Source organism: Homo sapiens, chromosome 6, assembly GCF_000001405.40.
Source record: "Homo sapiens chromosome 6, GRCh38.p14 Primary Assembly".
NCBI classification, from domain to species: domain Eukaryota; kingdom Metazoa; phylum Chordata; class Mammalia; order Primates; family Hominidae; genus Homo; species Homo sapiens.
Genome location: NC_000006.12, coordinates 35,053,182 through 35,070,112, shown reverse-complemented (window position 1 = coordinate 35,070,112; position 16,931 = coordinate 35,053,182). Strand labels below are relative to the sequence as shown.

Sequence of the window (16,931 nt, the reverse complement as noted above, 5' to 3'; positions counted from 1 at the left end):
TGGGAGGACTGCCTCCTGGGCCCAGGAGTTTGAGACCAGCCTGAGCAACATTGTGAGACACCCAGTCTCTTTTTTTTTTTTTTTTTTTGACAGAGTCTTGCTCTGTCACCCAGGCTGGAGTGCAATGGCACAATCTTGGCTCACCGCAACTTCCACCTCCCAGGTTCAAGCGATTCTCCTGCCTCAGCCTCCCAAGTAGCTGGGATTACAGGCATGTGCCACCAAACCCAGCTAATTTTCTATTTTTAGCAGAGACTGGGTTTCGCCATTGTTGGTCAGGCTGGTCTTGAACTCCTGACCTCAGGTGATCCACCCACCTCGGCCTCCCAAAGTGCTGGGATTACAGGCATGAGCCACCACACCCGGACTGACACCCAGTCTCTTAAAAAAAAAAATATATATATATTAGCCAGGTAGGGTGGTGTGTACCTGTAGTTCCAGCTATTTGGGAGACTTAGATGGGAGGATCACTTGAGCCTGGGGGGTCAGGGCTGCAGTGAGCTGTGACTGCGCCACTGCACTCCAGCCTGGGCAACAGAGAGAGACCCTATCTTAAAAGAAAAAAAATTATTGTCAGCCCTCTGTGTTCTAGGCACTAGCTAAGTGCCTTGCACTAATCTCATTTAATCCTCTAAATAGCTCCACTGTAGACAGGGGTGAAAGCCCCATTTGACGGAGGAGAATACCAAGAGACCTAAGTTACTTTGCTAAAGTCACCAAGCAGACTGTGGCTGGAGCTGAGAGCCTGACCCAGAGCCCACATGCTGAGGCCTGTGGATGGGGCAGGGACAAGGGACAATGGTGGGGGTTGGGGGACTGCAGGAGGGGGGTCCAGCAGATAAAAAGCAGTTTGGGAAAGCAGGCTTCATTCATAACCACAATCAGAAAGCCTAGTGTGTGGGGGATGTCACTCTTCCCACTCTTGGGTCTCCAGAGGGAGCCTGGGAAAAGGCAGAGGGCCCAGGGCTTACCGACCTTGAACCAGTGGGAAAGGCCTGGGACCACCCTATCACCTGCCCCACTCTGTCCTGGAGAGCCCAGGGAAGGAAGGCTTGAGTCTTGTGATGAAATCCATGGGCCATGGTGTGGAGGGGCAGTCCTGGGCCCACCAATGGCCAGACGTCAGCCCTCTCTTGCATTGGACGTTCACCCAAACCAAGGCCACTAGATTCTGATTCTTGGGGCCAGAGCTGCGCCAGCCTGGACTCTAGCTCCAGACTTTACACTCGGCCGGCAGCCCCCTCCACCCTCCTTTCCATGTTCAGTCTGCCTGTCTCTTCTCAGACGGTCACTTTGCCAGTTCCCCTGACTGCCCCATCAGTCACAGGAAACTCAAGGCTGAACTCTCCTCTCTTGCAAGAGAAGAAACGAGACAGAGCTATGATCCTGGACTTACAAGGTGCTTCTCCCTGCAGCCCTCCAGCCTCTCCCCTTCACCACCCATTCCCTTTCTCAGACTCAGGGATCAGGGCACTGTGGGAAGGGACCCTCCTAAGAGGGGAGAGGGGGTATGTGGCGGGGAGAACCTGGACACACGAGAAATTGCAAATTAGGCCACAAGGGCAGATTCCGCTAACCAAGAGTAGGGAGGGTAGGAAGAGCTGAGTGCGGGGACAAAGCCACACCCTTGCTGGATTGAGTTTTGGGGCCTGCCTATTCTGGGAGAGGAGCTGCCAAAGCTTAGTAACAAACCCCGGGCAGATGTGGGAGGCATGGCTGGCCCTGCCCTCTTCCCTGCCTGCTCCTCCCCACCCCAGAGCTTCCCCAGGCACAGGCTGGTTCACCGTGACACTGTGACACTGACGCTGTCTCTAAGAACGTGATGGATTTCTCCTGGCCCTCGACCTCTTCCCTACACTAAAAGATTCTTTTGAGTTTCTTGAATAATACAAGTTTATTAGTAGAAAAATTTGAAAATAGGCCAGGTGCGGTGGCTCACGCCTGTAATCTTAGCACTTTGGGAGGCTGAGGCGAGTGGATCACCTGAGGTCAGGAGTTCAAGACCAGCCTGGCCAACATGGTGAAACTACATCTCTACTAAAAATACAAAAATTAGCTGGCTGTGGTAGTGCCCGCCAGTAATTCCAGCTACACAGGAGGCCGAGGCAGGAGAAATCGCTTGAACTGGGGGCGGAGCAGAGGTTGCAGTGAGCCGAGATTTCGCCACTGCACTCCAGCCTGGGGGAAAGGGCGAAACTCCGTCTCAAAAAAAAAAAAAAAAAAAAATTGAAAATGAAGTACAAAGAAAAATGTAAAAGCTACCCATAAGTCTATCACCTCAGGGGGAAACATAAGGCCACTGTTCGGTGTTATCTTCCTAAGTTAATTAATTTTCTTAAAAAAGGAAGATTGGGATCACTTCTACCATTTTGGTGTATTTTTCTGAGCTATATATTAGGAAAAAAAACTTCAGCAAAATTGGGATTATAGGCTGAATGCAGACAGTTTTTCTTTTTTTTCCCCACCACTTGCCACCTGTTTCTTTAACCTGCCTCTTTTAACATGCCCATCTACTGCATGTGAATATCCCCCATGACATTTCACTGTATTTATCAACACCTGTGGCGACGGCACCAACTCAAGCACGCCCGTCACTCACCCTGCCACTGGGCACTCGGGCTTCTCCGGCCTTTGCTAATGCTGGCCGGCCGCTACTACAGGTGGTTTATGCAGTCCCCAGAACATGTTACTCAGCACGTTCGTCTGGGGTGCAGGTGACTAAACACACAACAGGTTTCTGGTCTCAGCCAGGACCAACTTCTGAGGCTGGGGCTATAATGGCCATGGTGCATGGGCCCAGAGAGGAGGGGGAGCACATGTTTCCTCCCAGTCCCAGGGCATCTGCTGTGGGGCTGGCCCGGGGGTGGGGGCAGGAAGAACCATCGGGAGAGGGGACAGAAAGCAAAGAGGAGGGGACAGGGCTCTCTAATACTCACCACTATGGCCCCAATTCTTAATAATGATGGGAAATAGAAGCCATGCTCCCTGAGGCCTGCGTGCAGTCACCCACCTGGGGCGAGGGCTTTCCCAGTACCAGCTACTATGCAAAGCAGCTGTGGTAGAAAGGGGTTCCAATCCCGGTTCAGCTGCTCAAGGTTCTTAAGAAAGCAGGACCTGCTAAACAAGAGTGGAACCGCCTGCCTCACAGGGTTTGCTACCCAGCATCAGCCTGAGGGCAGGAATCAGGCGCTCAGTGGCTGTTTTGTTCATCTGCTCTGCCAGGACTCTGCAACAGAATTTCCCAAAGTAGCCCCACATTGACATCCTACCCTCAACTAACAGCTGGCAGAAGGAGCAGGAACCACTTGGCCTGACCCACCCACAGCTCTCTGCTTTCCTATCCCATACCCCAGCCACCCCTGGCCTCACCTCAAGGGATAAAACTCAGTGGTGACAGCCACCAGGAAGAGTCAAGTGTTACCAGTTCCTAAGGCCTCTGCAGGTGACTTCTGAGGCCCTTGTTATCTGTCACGTCATGGGAAGGGCTCTCAAGGATGGATATGACAGCACATGGGTTTGGGAAACTCTTCCCAGTTTCATGAAAGCACCCCCCCACTCTGACCCCTGTTCTCCCAAGCAGGTCCTTGGTGCCCCCATTCTCTCTGTGGGCAGACATGGCAGCCTTCCCACTCATCTCCTGCCTGCCATCCTGAAACACCTTCCTCTTTGAGGTCTTGGCTGAGGTCAAGGTGCCACAGTCACCCCCAAATCAGCCGTGTAGATCTGCTGGGACCAAGTGAGTCTGGAGTCAGAGGCTTGGTCCCAAGACCACCCAAAGCAGCTTTAACTCATGGATCTGAGGACAAGACTGAGACAAAACCAACCTCTGCAGCCTGCAGAGAAAGACTGCTGCCCACTGCCTTTTTCAGAAAAACACCACCTTCCCACCTTGCGTCCTTACATGCGGTTTTGCTCTCTGACACGATGTCACCACACATAACACTGTGTCCTCTTCGGAGTTTATGCCTCATGAAGTAAGTAGGTCAAATGAAGGCCCGCGTGACAGACGACGAACAGGGAGGAAGGGTAACCTGCCGAAAGTCACACAGGGCGGGGACCTGGAGGGGAACCCAGCTCTCCTGACTCCTGGTCCAGTTCCCTTTGCCACTAAGTAGACTCTTGAGTTCTCCTGAGCTTCCCCCATCCAGTTTACTTAACTAACCCGGAGCTTCATAGAGAGCAGGGTGGGGAGGAGGCGGGTAGAAGCAACGGGCCAGGCAGTGGTGGTGGCTGCACAGGCCCAGAAGAACCTGGGGGGCCTGAGCCAGTGCACAGAGCCGAACTGCATCTCATTCCTTGCCAGCTCCTTTCTCAGCCTATGGTTGAATGGCTCCCAACATGCAGTGGGTGGACGTCTGACCTGGACCAGCCCAGGGGTGATGCACTCACCCAGCCTGATGGGCCCCAGTGCCAGGCTCCAACCTTGTGAGGGCACATGAGCATGAGCCCCAGGGGCTGCATCTTCCTGGGAAGGGAAGATTGGGAGGTGGAAGCACCACTCCAGGTCCAGGGACGTGGCTGCCAGTCCCAGCTCCACGCCACCTGAGGGGTGACAGTGGGCACATTACCGTACTGAGAGCCCGCAATGCGGGGTTTGGCTGAGTGAGTACCTAGACATTCGAGGTGCCAGGAAAGACGCCTCTGCTGCTGCTCACAACGAGGCCAGCAATCAGGAGCGACGGAAGAGGATCTGTCAGCCAGTCCAACTCCACTTTAAAGAGCAGTTGGTCAAATTAGCAGGCATGAAAACAGGCATTCAGAATGTTCCCAGAGTTCCTTCTACTGTAAAGGGGACTGGAGAAGGCCAGAGCAGTACCTGGGGCAGTCAGAGGAGGGCTCCTGAGTGATTCCAGCTGGTCACCTGGAATGCCTGCGCTGCAGTCAGGCAGTGAAAGGGAGGGGGGGCAAGAGGTGCACTCGCTGGAAATAGGCCCCAAATGAGCCTGTCCCTTGTCTCACTTGCTAAAAGGGCTGCCCTTGGTCAGGCTCCCGAGACCAAGGGAGAGTCTGGCAGAGATGGTGAGGCCCTGGTGCAGCATCAACTCCTGGGATAGCGAGGAATTACATTCTTCCTCCTTGGATAGCAAGGAATTACATTCTTCCTCCTGGGATACCGAGGAATTACATTCTTAAGTGACTACAGAATTTAGCTAGTCCAGGAGGCTGGATCCACACTTGTCTAAGAGGATTCCTTTCCTTTCCAAGCCTCAGCTCCACTGATCCTCCTGTTTAAGGCTCTGCTTCAACTGGGCAGAAAACTCCAAGACAGCAGTCAGCTCATGGAGTGCTGTGCAGGGAGATGGGACGGGGGTGGAGGTGGGGGCTGGGGAGAGGGCCTCTTGGCCATGACCATTCTGATAATGGTGCCCAGTGGCAGCTCGCTTAGGCTGGCAGTGGCCTCTTGGGCCTGGGGCAGAAGAAGGCAAAAGGAGGGATGTCATAGGAGGTGATGACAAGCCCCACTGTTCACGTGAAGCTGGTTTAGAGGGCTGGAGAGTGAGGAGCAAATCCAGGGGACAGGAACAGGAAGGGAGCCTCAGGGGCTTGGGGACCTGGTTGGAAAGTTTCAAAGAAGCCAGTAGAAGAACCTCTTGGCCCCAGCTTATGCCTTTGGCCTCTCTTTATCTGTCATTTCTCTCCAACACGTAGGAACAAGCTGGCACCACCTCAGAAACACACAGGAAGACAGCGGGGGCCTATCTGCCACGTAGCAGGAGCCTGCAGAGAAAGAAATTGACGGGAGGAGCAGGCGGCCTCCCATCCGGCCTGGCCGACTCAGTATCCATTTCTAACCCTTCCTGAGCCTGCTGCCAGCCTCATTTCCATCTTCCATTTGTCCACTGCCCCGAGCCATGACTGCCTGCCACACGTGGGCTCTCAGCTGTGCCCTGGATGTCTAAGGTATGCCTCACTCAAGGGGCTTTTTGCCTGGTGTGGGGCACTAGCAGAGACCATCCCCCCATGCCCAGGGCTCAGAGACCTTGGGACTCTCCCACACGTGGCTTTCGAGAGCCCTGAGGTCAGGCCCAGCCATCTCTCCCGCCTGGTCAGGGCCCTGCCCGTCACTGCCCCCCAGCAGCCTCCTCCCTCACCAGAGACAGGTTGGCCCCTCTCAGCAGGCCTTTCCTGTCTCTGTGATCTTTCCAAGTCCCACCATCTCTACGAAACCCCTGGGACAGACAGCAGAACCCAGAGGTTCGAGGTTGGACTTGGCTCTGCCACTTGGGCAGCAGCAGCATCTCTGCCATCCAGGCCTCCTCCTCTGCTGGCGGTGCTTGCCAGCCTCCGCTGCACTTGACACTGGCTGCTCTTTTATGTGCTTTGTTTTCCCAGCTGGACCATCAAGTTCCTTAAGACACCTACGTTATTTGCTTTTCTGATTTCACATCTATTCATGGTGGGAAATGGAGAAAAACGATTACACTCCAAAGAGGAAAATGAAGCCCCCGGAGTCCTCCTGAGATAGCCACTGAAAACATCTTGGCTCACTCCCTTGCACCTCCTATGCATACATGTTTTCTTTTTCAGAAATTAAGATCATATTGTGAATTTCTGTGTCAGTTTCTTCACTCAGCACTACAAGGGGGACATTCCCCACATTAGCAATTCTTCAAAAATGTGGTTTTTTAAATATCTACTTAGCACTCCAGCATCAGGACCACCATCGTTTATTCAATCAACACTTCTGTGAAGGGCGTCAGGCTGAGTGAAGGGCATCAGACCTGCGCTAGCACGCCCGGAGCTACAAATTTGCCAACCACCAATTACCTTCCTTCCGTGCTGATTAAATGCATTTCCTCCCTTCTCCTAAGAAAGCCCATTTCCTGTGGATAAGATTTGTGGTGAAAATGGAACCAGCTACGATGCAGGTGCAGTGTGGTGGGCTCGTGGGCTGGCTGGCTGGCAGATGTGTGAGCCACGTTTCCCTCTCTCCCTGCGTCTGGTGTCAGTTCCACCATCCTAGGGAGCACCTGGCAGCCCCCACTGCCCTGGCCCTGCCCCTCTAAATCAAAGGCCCTTTCTGTCTGTAAGCAAGACAGTGTGGATAAAGTTCAAGTTGCCTGCCTGTCCAGCTCAATCACCACATCACAAGAGGAGAATAAGAGGGCATGGCACCTGGAGCCTGGGGCAGAGGTCTTCAATTTTCTGAAGGGCTTAAACATGTTCTGTGTGGTCCCAAAACGTAAACCTGGGACCAAGAGACAGAAGCCACAGGAAACAGATTTTGACTCAATATAAAGAATGCTCTACATCAGCCAGTACAATGCAAAGAATGAATGGGTAACCTCCTTACAAGGTAGTGAATTCCTTGTCACTAAAAAACCATCATGGCAGAGACTACTTGGAAGGGATTCGGGCAGAGAGGGCGATCAGACCACATGGCGTTACAGTCCCTTCCACTCTGAGAGGGAGCTGTGTGATGTGCACAAATGCCCTGTACTTCTCCTATGACAACTCGCAGGGCCCTATCACAGGGAGATCCCACAGCAACACCATGACTGTCAAACAGCCTCAGTTTCCAGACGCTCCTCAGACATGTCCAGCCTGGCTTCCTGGAAGCTACTTCTGCATCTTGTAGAAGAGTCTCCAGGGCATTTCAGAACCAAGGGAAACATTGTAGCCTATTGGAAACCTAACCACATGGGATCCACTGTAGCTAATGCAATGTAAGTTATCCACATGCAATGAGGGAATATTTCAATAACAGAAACGCTCCCCTTCCCAAGTTGCCTTCTTTTTTTAGGCTGTTAAAACATAATTTGCCTGACAGCCCACCTGGCCATTCACACGTGGTTACCCAGGATGCTGTGCACAGCAGGCCACTCTAGGTATCTGAGGTCCCGGCTCACCCGAGGGGTGCTCGACGTTCCTTCTTGTATAGACTCCACCTGCCAGCACTGAGAGCCCCTGGAAGGACTGAGCTGCAGGCCGCCCTCAATGAGGGTCCTTCTAGCATAGGAACAGACGCATCTTACAGAGGCCCTGCCCTGTGCATGAAGCTTTGGCCCAAGGCCACACTTCTCCAAAGGCCTGCTCAGCTGCTCTCTGCTCCAGTCCTACGGAGTCTCGGGCTATTTGAGGGGTAGGAATCCTGTTCTTTCCAAAATCAGCAGAAGGAGAGGTGGGAAGCAACAGCTCAGCCTCTAGCATCTTGAAGTACAGGGAGGGAACACCCTAAGACCACCCTCACTTGCCCATCTGACGGCCAGCCTGAGGAAGGGGTGAGTTGAGAGAAGGAAGGCCCCTCAACACTCCGAGCCAGGGGCCAACCTGGGTCCCCACGCATTGCCTGAGCCCCCTCTCCACCCCGAGTTTGTCATCCTTCCCCGAGGAACGTGGTGAGTCAGGAGTTAGGTCATAAGAACCATAAATACATTCAGTTTAACTTTTAAAAAGAAAAAAAATTGCTATTTTAAAACTTAAGATTTCTAAAAGCTGAAAATTAACTGTCCCAAAGCTGGCTTGGAAAGGGTGCATTGTTGCACACCACAGTATCTTTTGCCCTGGAGTTGGAGATGGCTCTGGGTGAGGTGGGTCCCTCCTGGAAGCCTCAGGCCAGCTCCCTGGGCAGGCCACTATTCAGGAGGCACCAAACACAACCCGATCAGCGAGAAACCCTCAGAAGCCCCCATTAGAGAACAGAGTGCAGGTGGTGCGAGCTGCATGCTGACTCTGACCCCAGCCCTCAACTGAGGCAGCGGAGCAAGGCGGGCACAGGTGAGAGAGATCCCCTCGGAGCGGGTGGGTCTAACTCAAACCAAGATGACTCAGGCTAGAAGGTGACATAAAGCACATAGGTGGCCACGCCCCCATCCCTGTATCCACAGAGAAGAAAGAGGCTGTGCAGCAGAGTGGCTGGAGCCTGATCTCCAGATCCAGAGCACTGGACACACATTTCCACCCTGCCAATGACTGACAGTGTGACCCTGAGCAAGGGACCTACCTCATTTCCTTCATCTGGGCAATGGATTAATACGAGTCCACATCCCAGGGCTGCTGGGAAGATTCAATGAGCTAATTCACGCAAACCACTAAGAACGGCGCCAAGCACACAGTAAGCGCTAGTGAGAAGTGTCAGCGACCATGATCACTAACTTTGGCTCAAATGCCTGCTCCTGGAAGCAGGCCCGGCGCATGCAGATGCCTCTAGAAGGGCTTCCAAGAGAGGGACAGTGACAGGTACCCTGATCAGAGCTACTTTCTGAAATGACAGAGTGTGCACCAGATCCTGAGCCCAGGGTCCTAAATGGGTCCCTATTCTGCAGGGATCCAGAGGAAACACCCTGGTTTCTCTTTTTATTTTTGGCCCTTTGTGTTTTGTGAGAGAGCTTCTCAAAGAAGCAACCAATCCTCCAGGCCATCAACTCAGCCTTTCCTCTGGGCCATCTCTGAGGCCACGGGTATATAAGGCTGTGTAACTCTGGACTCTACCCCAGGCACTGGGCCTTGGCTGGGCAGGGAAGGGGTCTTTCTGCTGGAGGCAAGGCTCCTTGCTTCAGTGACAACTCACTTGACACCAAGTTTTGAGAAATAAATAAAACTCCTCGTACCCAGCCTTGATGGGATACACAGCCAGGGAGGGGACACAGGGCTGAATCAGGGACCCTCCTTCTTGGGAAGCAGATCTGCAAAGAGAGCTCCCTCTGGAGCCGTTTCTGGGGCAGAGGGAGAGGGACAGTTTGGGAAGAAGGCACATACCACCTGGCTGACTTCCTGGTGTCTGAGTGACCTCAGTGAGCTTTCCCTGGGATTTGGGTCTACGTACTGTTGCAGACTCCTGTGGGGCCAGAGGGGAGGCCAGGGAGGCCTGTTTCCACTGAGCAGCACCCTGCCATTGAGGAGGCCTGCAGCCACTTACCAGGAAGTGGACATCGTCAAAGCCATTCAGAAGCAACTTGCTCTCATACTGCTGCAGCCCAATCGACTCCAGCCACTCCCCGACACTCTGCTCCAGCGTCCGTAAACCTGATGAGAGAGGAATCGGCAGACGCTTGAAAAGGGAAAAACCATTAAGGCGGTAGCAGCGGCACTCAGAGGAAGATAGATGGCATTGCCACATCATAGTCATTACCATCAAACAGCCAAACTATATACAAGAGACCAGAGAGCAGCAGACACGCAGCTCCTCTTCTGTGTACAGCCAAGGACAGGACCACCTGGTGCTGTCCACACACTGCCCAGCCTCGGGCGGCTGCTGCCCACTCACACCCCCAGGTCTGAGCTGCTCCAGGGCCACGGCTGCACATGCATGATCTCTGCCCACAGGTCGGGGGTGGGGGAAGCCAAATCCCAACAGTCTCCAGGTCAACTCCTCATCAGCGTGCGTGCTGAAGATATTTCAGAAAGTCTGTCCCCACAGGCACTAGAGGGGGCTGAGGGAGCTCCTAAGTGCCCACAAGCCCCGCCGCTCCTCTCATCCATGCAACTTCTGGAGCCCCTGTGGGGCCGTGGCGAGGGGCAAGTTCTGCGACCTTGCAGCATAAACCAGTCAGGAGAGAGCACACATCTTCATGCAGCTGAGGGACACAGGCACACAGCGAGGGCTCCGGGAGGGAAGCAGCAGCGGCGGCTGTTCACCGGGACCCAGCACATGCAACACAAGCAGCACAGAACACGGCAGGGGGAGAAAAGAGACTTTTACTTGTTTTCCCCCAGCAGTCCCGGAATAAGCAAACCATGGCCACCGGCCCTTTGTGCTCAGAGGCTCAAGGCAGCAAGGGGCTGAATGGGGCACATGGGCCGGGGCTCGGGGGTCAGGCTCAGGTGTGGCTCTGCTGGGACGGCAGCATCGCATTCCGCCGGGCTGCGCGGCCAGTGGGCCAGGAGCCCGATCCACAGCTAGACTCTGGCAGCTGGCAAGCAGGGCGTCTCCTGGGCCAGCACGCCGTCTGAAGTGTTGCCTTCTTGGGCCAGGCTGGTTTTCAGGGGCTGGGCATTCATTTTCCTCTTCTGATAACAGCTGTTCCAGTGACTCACCTGCCTGCTCAGGTAGAAAGCAGGCAGGCAAATTCAGTTCTTGGGTAAAGAAGACAAAACCCAACCAGATAAAAGAGAGAAAAAGGAAGTGGTCCTCTGTCAGCTGAGCTGTGGCGGCTTAAGTCTATTCACGTCCTGCGCTGTTCTCTCTTTGGCTGAGTGATAAAGACAGCCACAGTCGTCCCAGGGTCTCTGGATCTTGGCGTTCTCCTCTAAGGATGAGCAGGGAAGGGAGGACATCTATTTGCTCCTCGATCAGCATGGGGATTTTGGTGGTGCAGGGAGGACAGAAGTTCAGCCCTTTCTGGCAGACCTTGGATGTTCTGAGCTGGATGCCTGAACCCCAACCTACTTCTCTGATTCTTGTGGGCAAGAACAGATGAAAGAAAGAAAAAAGTGAAAAGGAGGAAAAAGAGGTACAAGGAAGGAAAAGGAAGAACCAACTATAAACACATCACCTCCAGTGAACTCCTGACACGGTGAAAGTCATTCTGCCGTTCCCAGGTACTTTCTGCCCCTTGGGGCAGGACAATGCCAACTTCCTTGGTTATCTACAAGACCCTGGTGACCAACTCTGCCAGCCTCCACTCCCTCTCCTCTGTCTCCTGCAGAACAGATGATGGTCAGGGACCCGGCGGCCTTCTGGATGCACGCTGCCGCAGCGCTCCAAGATGCCGAGTCTGGGGGATACTTGAGCTCCCCTGCCCTTGAATGGGGAAGTCTGCTCCAGGAGCCTACGTGGCAGGTTCTTCTATGCCCATGAAGTCAAGTGTCCCCGGGTGCTGATTCATTCTTGCTTGTAATCCCCCAGCCGGGCAGCTGTGGTCCTGCCTGCTGCCGGTGGATGTGCGCGCTGACAGAGCCGCAGCAGAATGCTTTGTCTAAAGGCTCCTGGGCTCCACGCTGCCTGCTGCTGGCTCCACAGTCCTTGCTCACTCTCGTAATGTCTGGCCCTCCCCTTCCTCCCCTCCTCACCCTCCCCCTTCCAAGCTCAGGAAAATACATCAGGGATCGGACATCACATCGGAGCAGAAGCAACTGCTGCTGTGGCTGCTGAGGGAGAAGGAGACAGCAGCACTAGCATCAGAGCGAAATGACAGATTTCCCAATAGCCGATGTTGGCTGCACAAATGCATATGAAGGGCGGAGATATGAAACTTTACCTCTAGCTCCAGGGGCTGGAAACAGCTTGTCAGGAAGAATAGAGAGGGACTGCTCCTAGAGCTTTGTTCGACAGTTTCCAGGACAGCCAGGAGAGGACACAGGAATGACCAGACCCAAAGGGCATAGCCCACAGGTAAGTGACCCCCCTACTTGCCACTTTACGAATGACTGTGCTTCTTATAAAAACAGGCAATGAAATAAGGCCGTTACACTTGATGTTCCTTAGGTGAGTATACCAAACAAATTGGGGACGGACTTCTCTTGGGGCCTGTTAGAGCCCAGGGGAAGTGCCCCACCCCAGAGCAGGCCACTCACACTCTGGGGGAGGACAGCGATGGCCAAGGGCAAGGGGGAAACCAGGGCCAAATCCCAAGTACAGATGGAGACAGGCCAAAAAGATAAAACAGGTACAGGGACAGAAGTCCAGGGCTTCTAAATATGCCCTGGACACATTACCCTCTAAATATGCTGGGAGATACTGGTATCCCAATAGGCTGTAGATGAGCCCTGGAAAAGAGAGGGTTCTCATCAGGCCCCAGAAGGATCCTGCTTGACCAGCTACTCAATACCTAACATGGCTGGCTTTATCAGAAGACAGCCAAGCAAGTTCCCTTCTGCTTGACGGAGAAGGCCTTTGTTGACAGAGCCAGAGTGGCCTGGGCCAGTGGGAAGGCATACCCTCCTGGACTCCTGAGAATGGGAGTTGGCACAGGGATGAGTTAGCTGTAAACGCTTCTGTTGGCGATTCAGCTAACTAGCTCCAGTGGTGGCAGCCCAGGGGCCTGTGGCCCTAAAAACAGAACTGAGACTCCAATGCTGTGGTCGTGCCCTTCGGCTGGGGGGTGCGGGCGCCTCTGCAAAACCAGTGGTGCTGGGCAATCCCACACTTGGTGCAGGGCTGCCTGCTGGAGGGCCTGCTCCTCCTCTACCCAGACTAACCCCAGAGCCCAGATCTTTTCTCCCTGATCCTGACGCCCAACCCAAGGACAATCTGAACCCTGATACTGACCAGTCAAAATAAACAGTGATTCCATTTTGGTCCAAGCTGAAGACAGTACTCCCTGAGATCCTGGGGAAAGCCCCCTCCTGACCCATCAGACAGGGTTCATGGGCAGGCCTGAGCCCATCCTCTCCACGCTTCAGCACCTGGCAGTGGTGCAGACACAGCAGCCTGGGGCTCTGCAGCCCGGGTGGATGAACCCGCTGTTTAGGTGGTCCCCCACATGTGCCTGTTCTTGACTTTCCCAAGCTGGACTATAGAGGATGGTTCAAGAAAATGAGTACTAAAACAAGACTGTGTGCTGGGATCCAAAAACCCAAGGGTAGAGACAGACTGCCTCTCAACACTCATATGGGTTCACGGGGGACAAAAACTGGTAGGTGGGGCCAGGCATCGTGGCTCACGCCTGTAATCCCAGCACTTTGGGAGGCCGAGGAGGGTGGATCAGGAGGTCAGGAGATCGAGACCATCCTGGCTAACACGGTGAAACCCTGTCTCTACTAAAAATACAAAAAATTAGCCGGGCGTGGTGGCGGGCGCCTGTAGTCCCAGCTACTCGGGAGGCTGAGGCAAGAGAATGGTGTGAACCCGGGAGGCGGAGCTTGCAGTGAGTGGAGATCACCGCGCTGCACTCCAGCCTGGGCGAAAGAGCGAGACTCCGTCTCAAACAACAACAACAACAAAAATAAAACAAACAAACAAAAAACTAGTAGGTGGGATCAGACAGGAGACCAGATGTCACGGGAAGAGCTCAGCATTAACCCTTCCAAGGGGAGGGCTCTTCCCGAGGTGCTGCCACATCTCCCGACTTATCAAATCCAAGAGGCAATGGCTGTTTCTGACTCACAGCTCTCAAGCATATGCAAGTGATTTTGGCTCCTGCTCCTTGGACACAGAAAGCAGAAACCATCCTCAATGGAACTGACTGCTATCCCTCCCATCCCTGTGGTCAAAGCACAGCTTTGAAAATGGTAACAGTGTTTGTCTCAGTCCTGAACATCCATTTCCCGCAAACACTTGACCCTTGGAAAAGCTTGCAAGCTACAACAGAGTGTGAGATGGCTTGACTGAGTGTAAGCAACAGATCCTGAAAACAGATCCACAAATTTAGCCAGGAAAGCCACCTCTGCAGACTCCAGCATAATCCAAGACTGACGAAAACGGACCAAGCTCAGCTCAGCCCTCTCTGCTAGCACCCAGGGAAACATTGCTGCTGGAGCGATGGTGGCTCTGGGAACCAGGACTGAAAACTGTGGAGGGAGCCACGGCCAGTGAGCAGAAGCCTCTGTTCTCTAGGTTTCTCGATATGAGTAAGTAATGATTTCATGGACAAAAGGAACACAGGGCCGGGTGTGGTGGCTGACACCTGTAATCCCAACACTTTGGAAGGCCAACGCAGGCGGATCACGAGGTCAGGAGTTCAAGACCAGCCTGACCAACATGGTGAAACCCCATCTCTACTAAAAATACAAAAATCAGCCAGGCGTGGTGTTACATGCCTGTAATCCCAGCTACTCAGGAGGCTGAGGCAGGAGAAACGCTTGAACCCAGGAGGCGGAGGTTACAATGAGCCAAGATTACGTCATTGCTCTCCAGCCTGGGTGACAGAGTGAGACTCCGTCTCAAAAAAAAAAAAAATTTTTTTTTATCTACTACTTATTCACAGCAAGCCTGTGAGGTTGACACTATTATCCAAAGGTTGCAGATATGGGGTGAGGGGTGCAGAGACATTAAGTGACTTGCCAAGACACATATGTCTCTAGAGCCAAGATTTCAACCCAGGGCTGTGAGGCTCCAGAGCCCAGCCCGTCCCCACCAGGCCCCGTGGTCTCTGATGTTCCTTTCTCCCTGATGTGCACACTCAAGCCCACCCATCAGACTTCCTGCCCAGGGCCACAGAAGCCCATGGAGGAACTAGAGGTGTCACTTGAGACTGACAGGTCAATCCTGGATGGAGCCTCCTGAGTGAGCAAGAATTTCCACCCCTTCAGGGCAGAGAGGCATTTCCATGAAGGTGAAGACAGGCCAGGCTCCCAGCTGGGCTGCTTTCAGCCTGGATGCCCCAGTGCCCAGACCATCTTTGGATGCTTGGGGGAGAGGTGTGAGATCTGCTCTGAGAGGCATCTTTAAGAGCATCTCGCCTGAGAAAGCAACACAGCACAATCCTATCATCAGATAAAACAGCTCAGATGGCCTCCCCATTCCCTGTTTCAAACAAAGAGAACAGAAGCTGGCCTCACTACTAGGGCTTAGAAAAGAATGACCAAAGTAGCAGTGATACAGTGTAAGAATGGTAAGTGATGAAGTAAACTGAGTCAGGCACAAGGAGCTGTGGGAAGAGGAAACAGCACAGTCAACCCTCCCAGGCAATTCACATGCATGCTACGAGTCTGAGACCCCTGGTCTAACCCAGTGCTCCGCCACCATCACGGATGAGACTCTTGAGAGCCATCTTGGAAGCTGCAGAGACCAACGCTGAGGTGCACTCTGATTTAAGCCCATCTAAGAAAGCCCATAAAATAATGAATAAGTTACGATTGTTGATCTAAAAATTTTTCCCAATAGGCAGCTTAAAATTCATTTTGTCCCTTTTCCCCTCCCATATGTAAAAGGAGTCATGGCTCTAAAAATAACAGCAAGATGGGGCTGTCTAGGTATTGGAGACTGAATTATAGGAGCATGACGTGGTCTGAAGCTGACCTCTCCCACCCACTGAATGTCTGTCTTCTGTGTTAGAGGAAAGCCTGAGCCAGAAAAGAGCCAGACTGCCAGTTTCTGTGGGGAAAATGGCCACTTAGTACGGTACCTGAGATCTTCTGCCGTTCCTGAGAAAAGTCAATCCCTTCTCCAATAGAACTCATGATTTTCTCAATCTGAAATGGAAGAAAGAACAAAGAGGAGAGGCAGTCAGGCTTGGGGTAAACCTTACCAGCTCACCACAGCGCCAGTGGGGTCTGACCTCCAGGTCTCTTTCAGATGCTTCCCAGGACCAGCACCAGCCTGCAAGGTATCAGGACTCTGCTGCTCAGGTCTAAGAGAGGCCTTCTCTGGCCCCAGCCCACAGGGTCCGATGTACTGCTCTGAAGGGAGTGAGATGGTGACAGTCTGGGCTTAGCTGCTAGAAATACTGAAGAGCCTCCCTTTCAAGGCATCTCTATGTCACTCCCCAGCAGTTCTCCCAGACCAGCAGAGACTGGGGAGAGGCTGCAATCACAGGCCAGACCTGGCCATCTCATTGCTCACGCTAGAATTTCAATTCCATGAGAGTGAAGACTTTGCCGGCTTTGTTCCATGCTACCCTGAGTGCCTAGGGTAGTGCCTGGCAAATCATAAGCATTCAACAGATAACTGATACTGTATGACCACAAGCTCTGGGGAGTGAGGATGATTTCTAGAGCGCCTGCATACAGAAACCTCTGGGAAGGAAAGGTGAGGCAGGCACTTAGGCCCAAATGGAAGGCCTTTTGCTTCTTGGAGTCCAGCAGTCCTGGATAGAGCTCTGCGTTCAGGAGATGAGACGGGGCACAGACACCTGTCCCTCTTCTGGACCACAGCAGAGAAAGCTAGTTTCAAAGCATCCAATGGCTCCAGCGCTGCCCCCAGTATGGACCACCTGTCCCAGCCATCTGGCCTTGGCCACTATGGGCCAGATCCAGGCCCCCTTCCCCAGGAAACCTGGCCAGGGGCAGAACTAGGCAGTGGGGAGCAGCCACCTTCTCTTCTTCCCCTCCTCCTCCTTTTTGGGTTGCAGTGATAATGAGCTCATTCACTGCTCTTTTTCCAAAGGAAT

General features: G+C 53.4%; 1 protein-coding gene across 12 annotated transcripts in view, besides 3 other annotated features; it reads right to left on the bottom strand.

Annotated features, from left to right (window-relative positions):
- Positions 1 to 16,931, bottom strand: part of ANKS1A (ankyrin repeat and sterile alpha motif domain containing 1A) — a 208,736-nt gene that overhangs the window by 27,878 nt on the left and 163,927 nt on the right. For all 12 annotated transcript variants that reach the window (XM_011514431.4, XM_011514434.4, XM_011514432.4 and 9 more), the window contains 2 exons: positions 15,948 to 16,014; positions 9,860 to 9,966 (listed from right to left, as the gene is read on the bottom strand). In XM_011514431.4, the coding sequence (XP_011512733.1) occupies positions 9,860 to 9,966; positions 15,948 to 16,014 (174 nt within the window). The remainder of the gene's footprint in view (positions 1 to 9,859; positions 9,967 to 15,947; positions 16,015 to 16,931) is intronic.
- Positions 1,178 to 1,841: an enhancer, noted in NCBI's record as "H3K27ac-H3K4me1 hESC enhancer chr6:35036049-35036712 (GRCh37/hg19 assembly coordinates)". NCBI's record gives its function as "activates a minimal SCP1, AML or CMV promoter by ChIP-STARR-seq in primed H9 embryonic stem cells {active_cell/tissue: H9 hESC(primed)}" and the evidence as "EXISTENCE:reporter gene assay evidence [ECO:0000049][PMID:30033119]".
- Positions 10,112 to 10,629: an enhancer, noted in NCBI's record as "H3K4me1 hESC enhancer chr6:35027261-35027778 (GRCh37/hg19 assembly coordinates)". NCBI's record gives its function as "activates a minimal SCP1, AML or CMV promoter by ChIP-STARR-seq in naive H9 embryonic stem cells {active_cell/tissue: H9 hESC(naive)}" and the evidence as "EXISTENCE:reporter gene assay evidence [ECO:0000049][PMID:30033119]".
- Positions 11,668 to 12,187: an enhancer, noted in NCBI's record as "H3K4me1 hESC enhancer chr6:35025703-35026222 (GRCh37/hg19 assembly coordinates)". NCBI's record gives its function as "activates a minimal SCP1, AML or CMV promoter by ChIP-STARR-seq in naive H9 embryonic stem cells {active_cell/tissue: H9 hESC(naive)}" and the evidence as "EXISTENCE:reporter gene assay evidence [ECO:0000049][PMID:30033119]".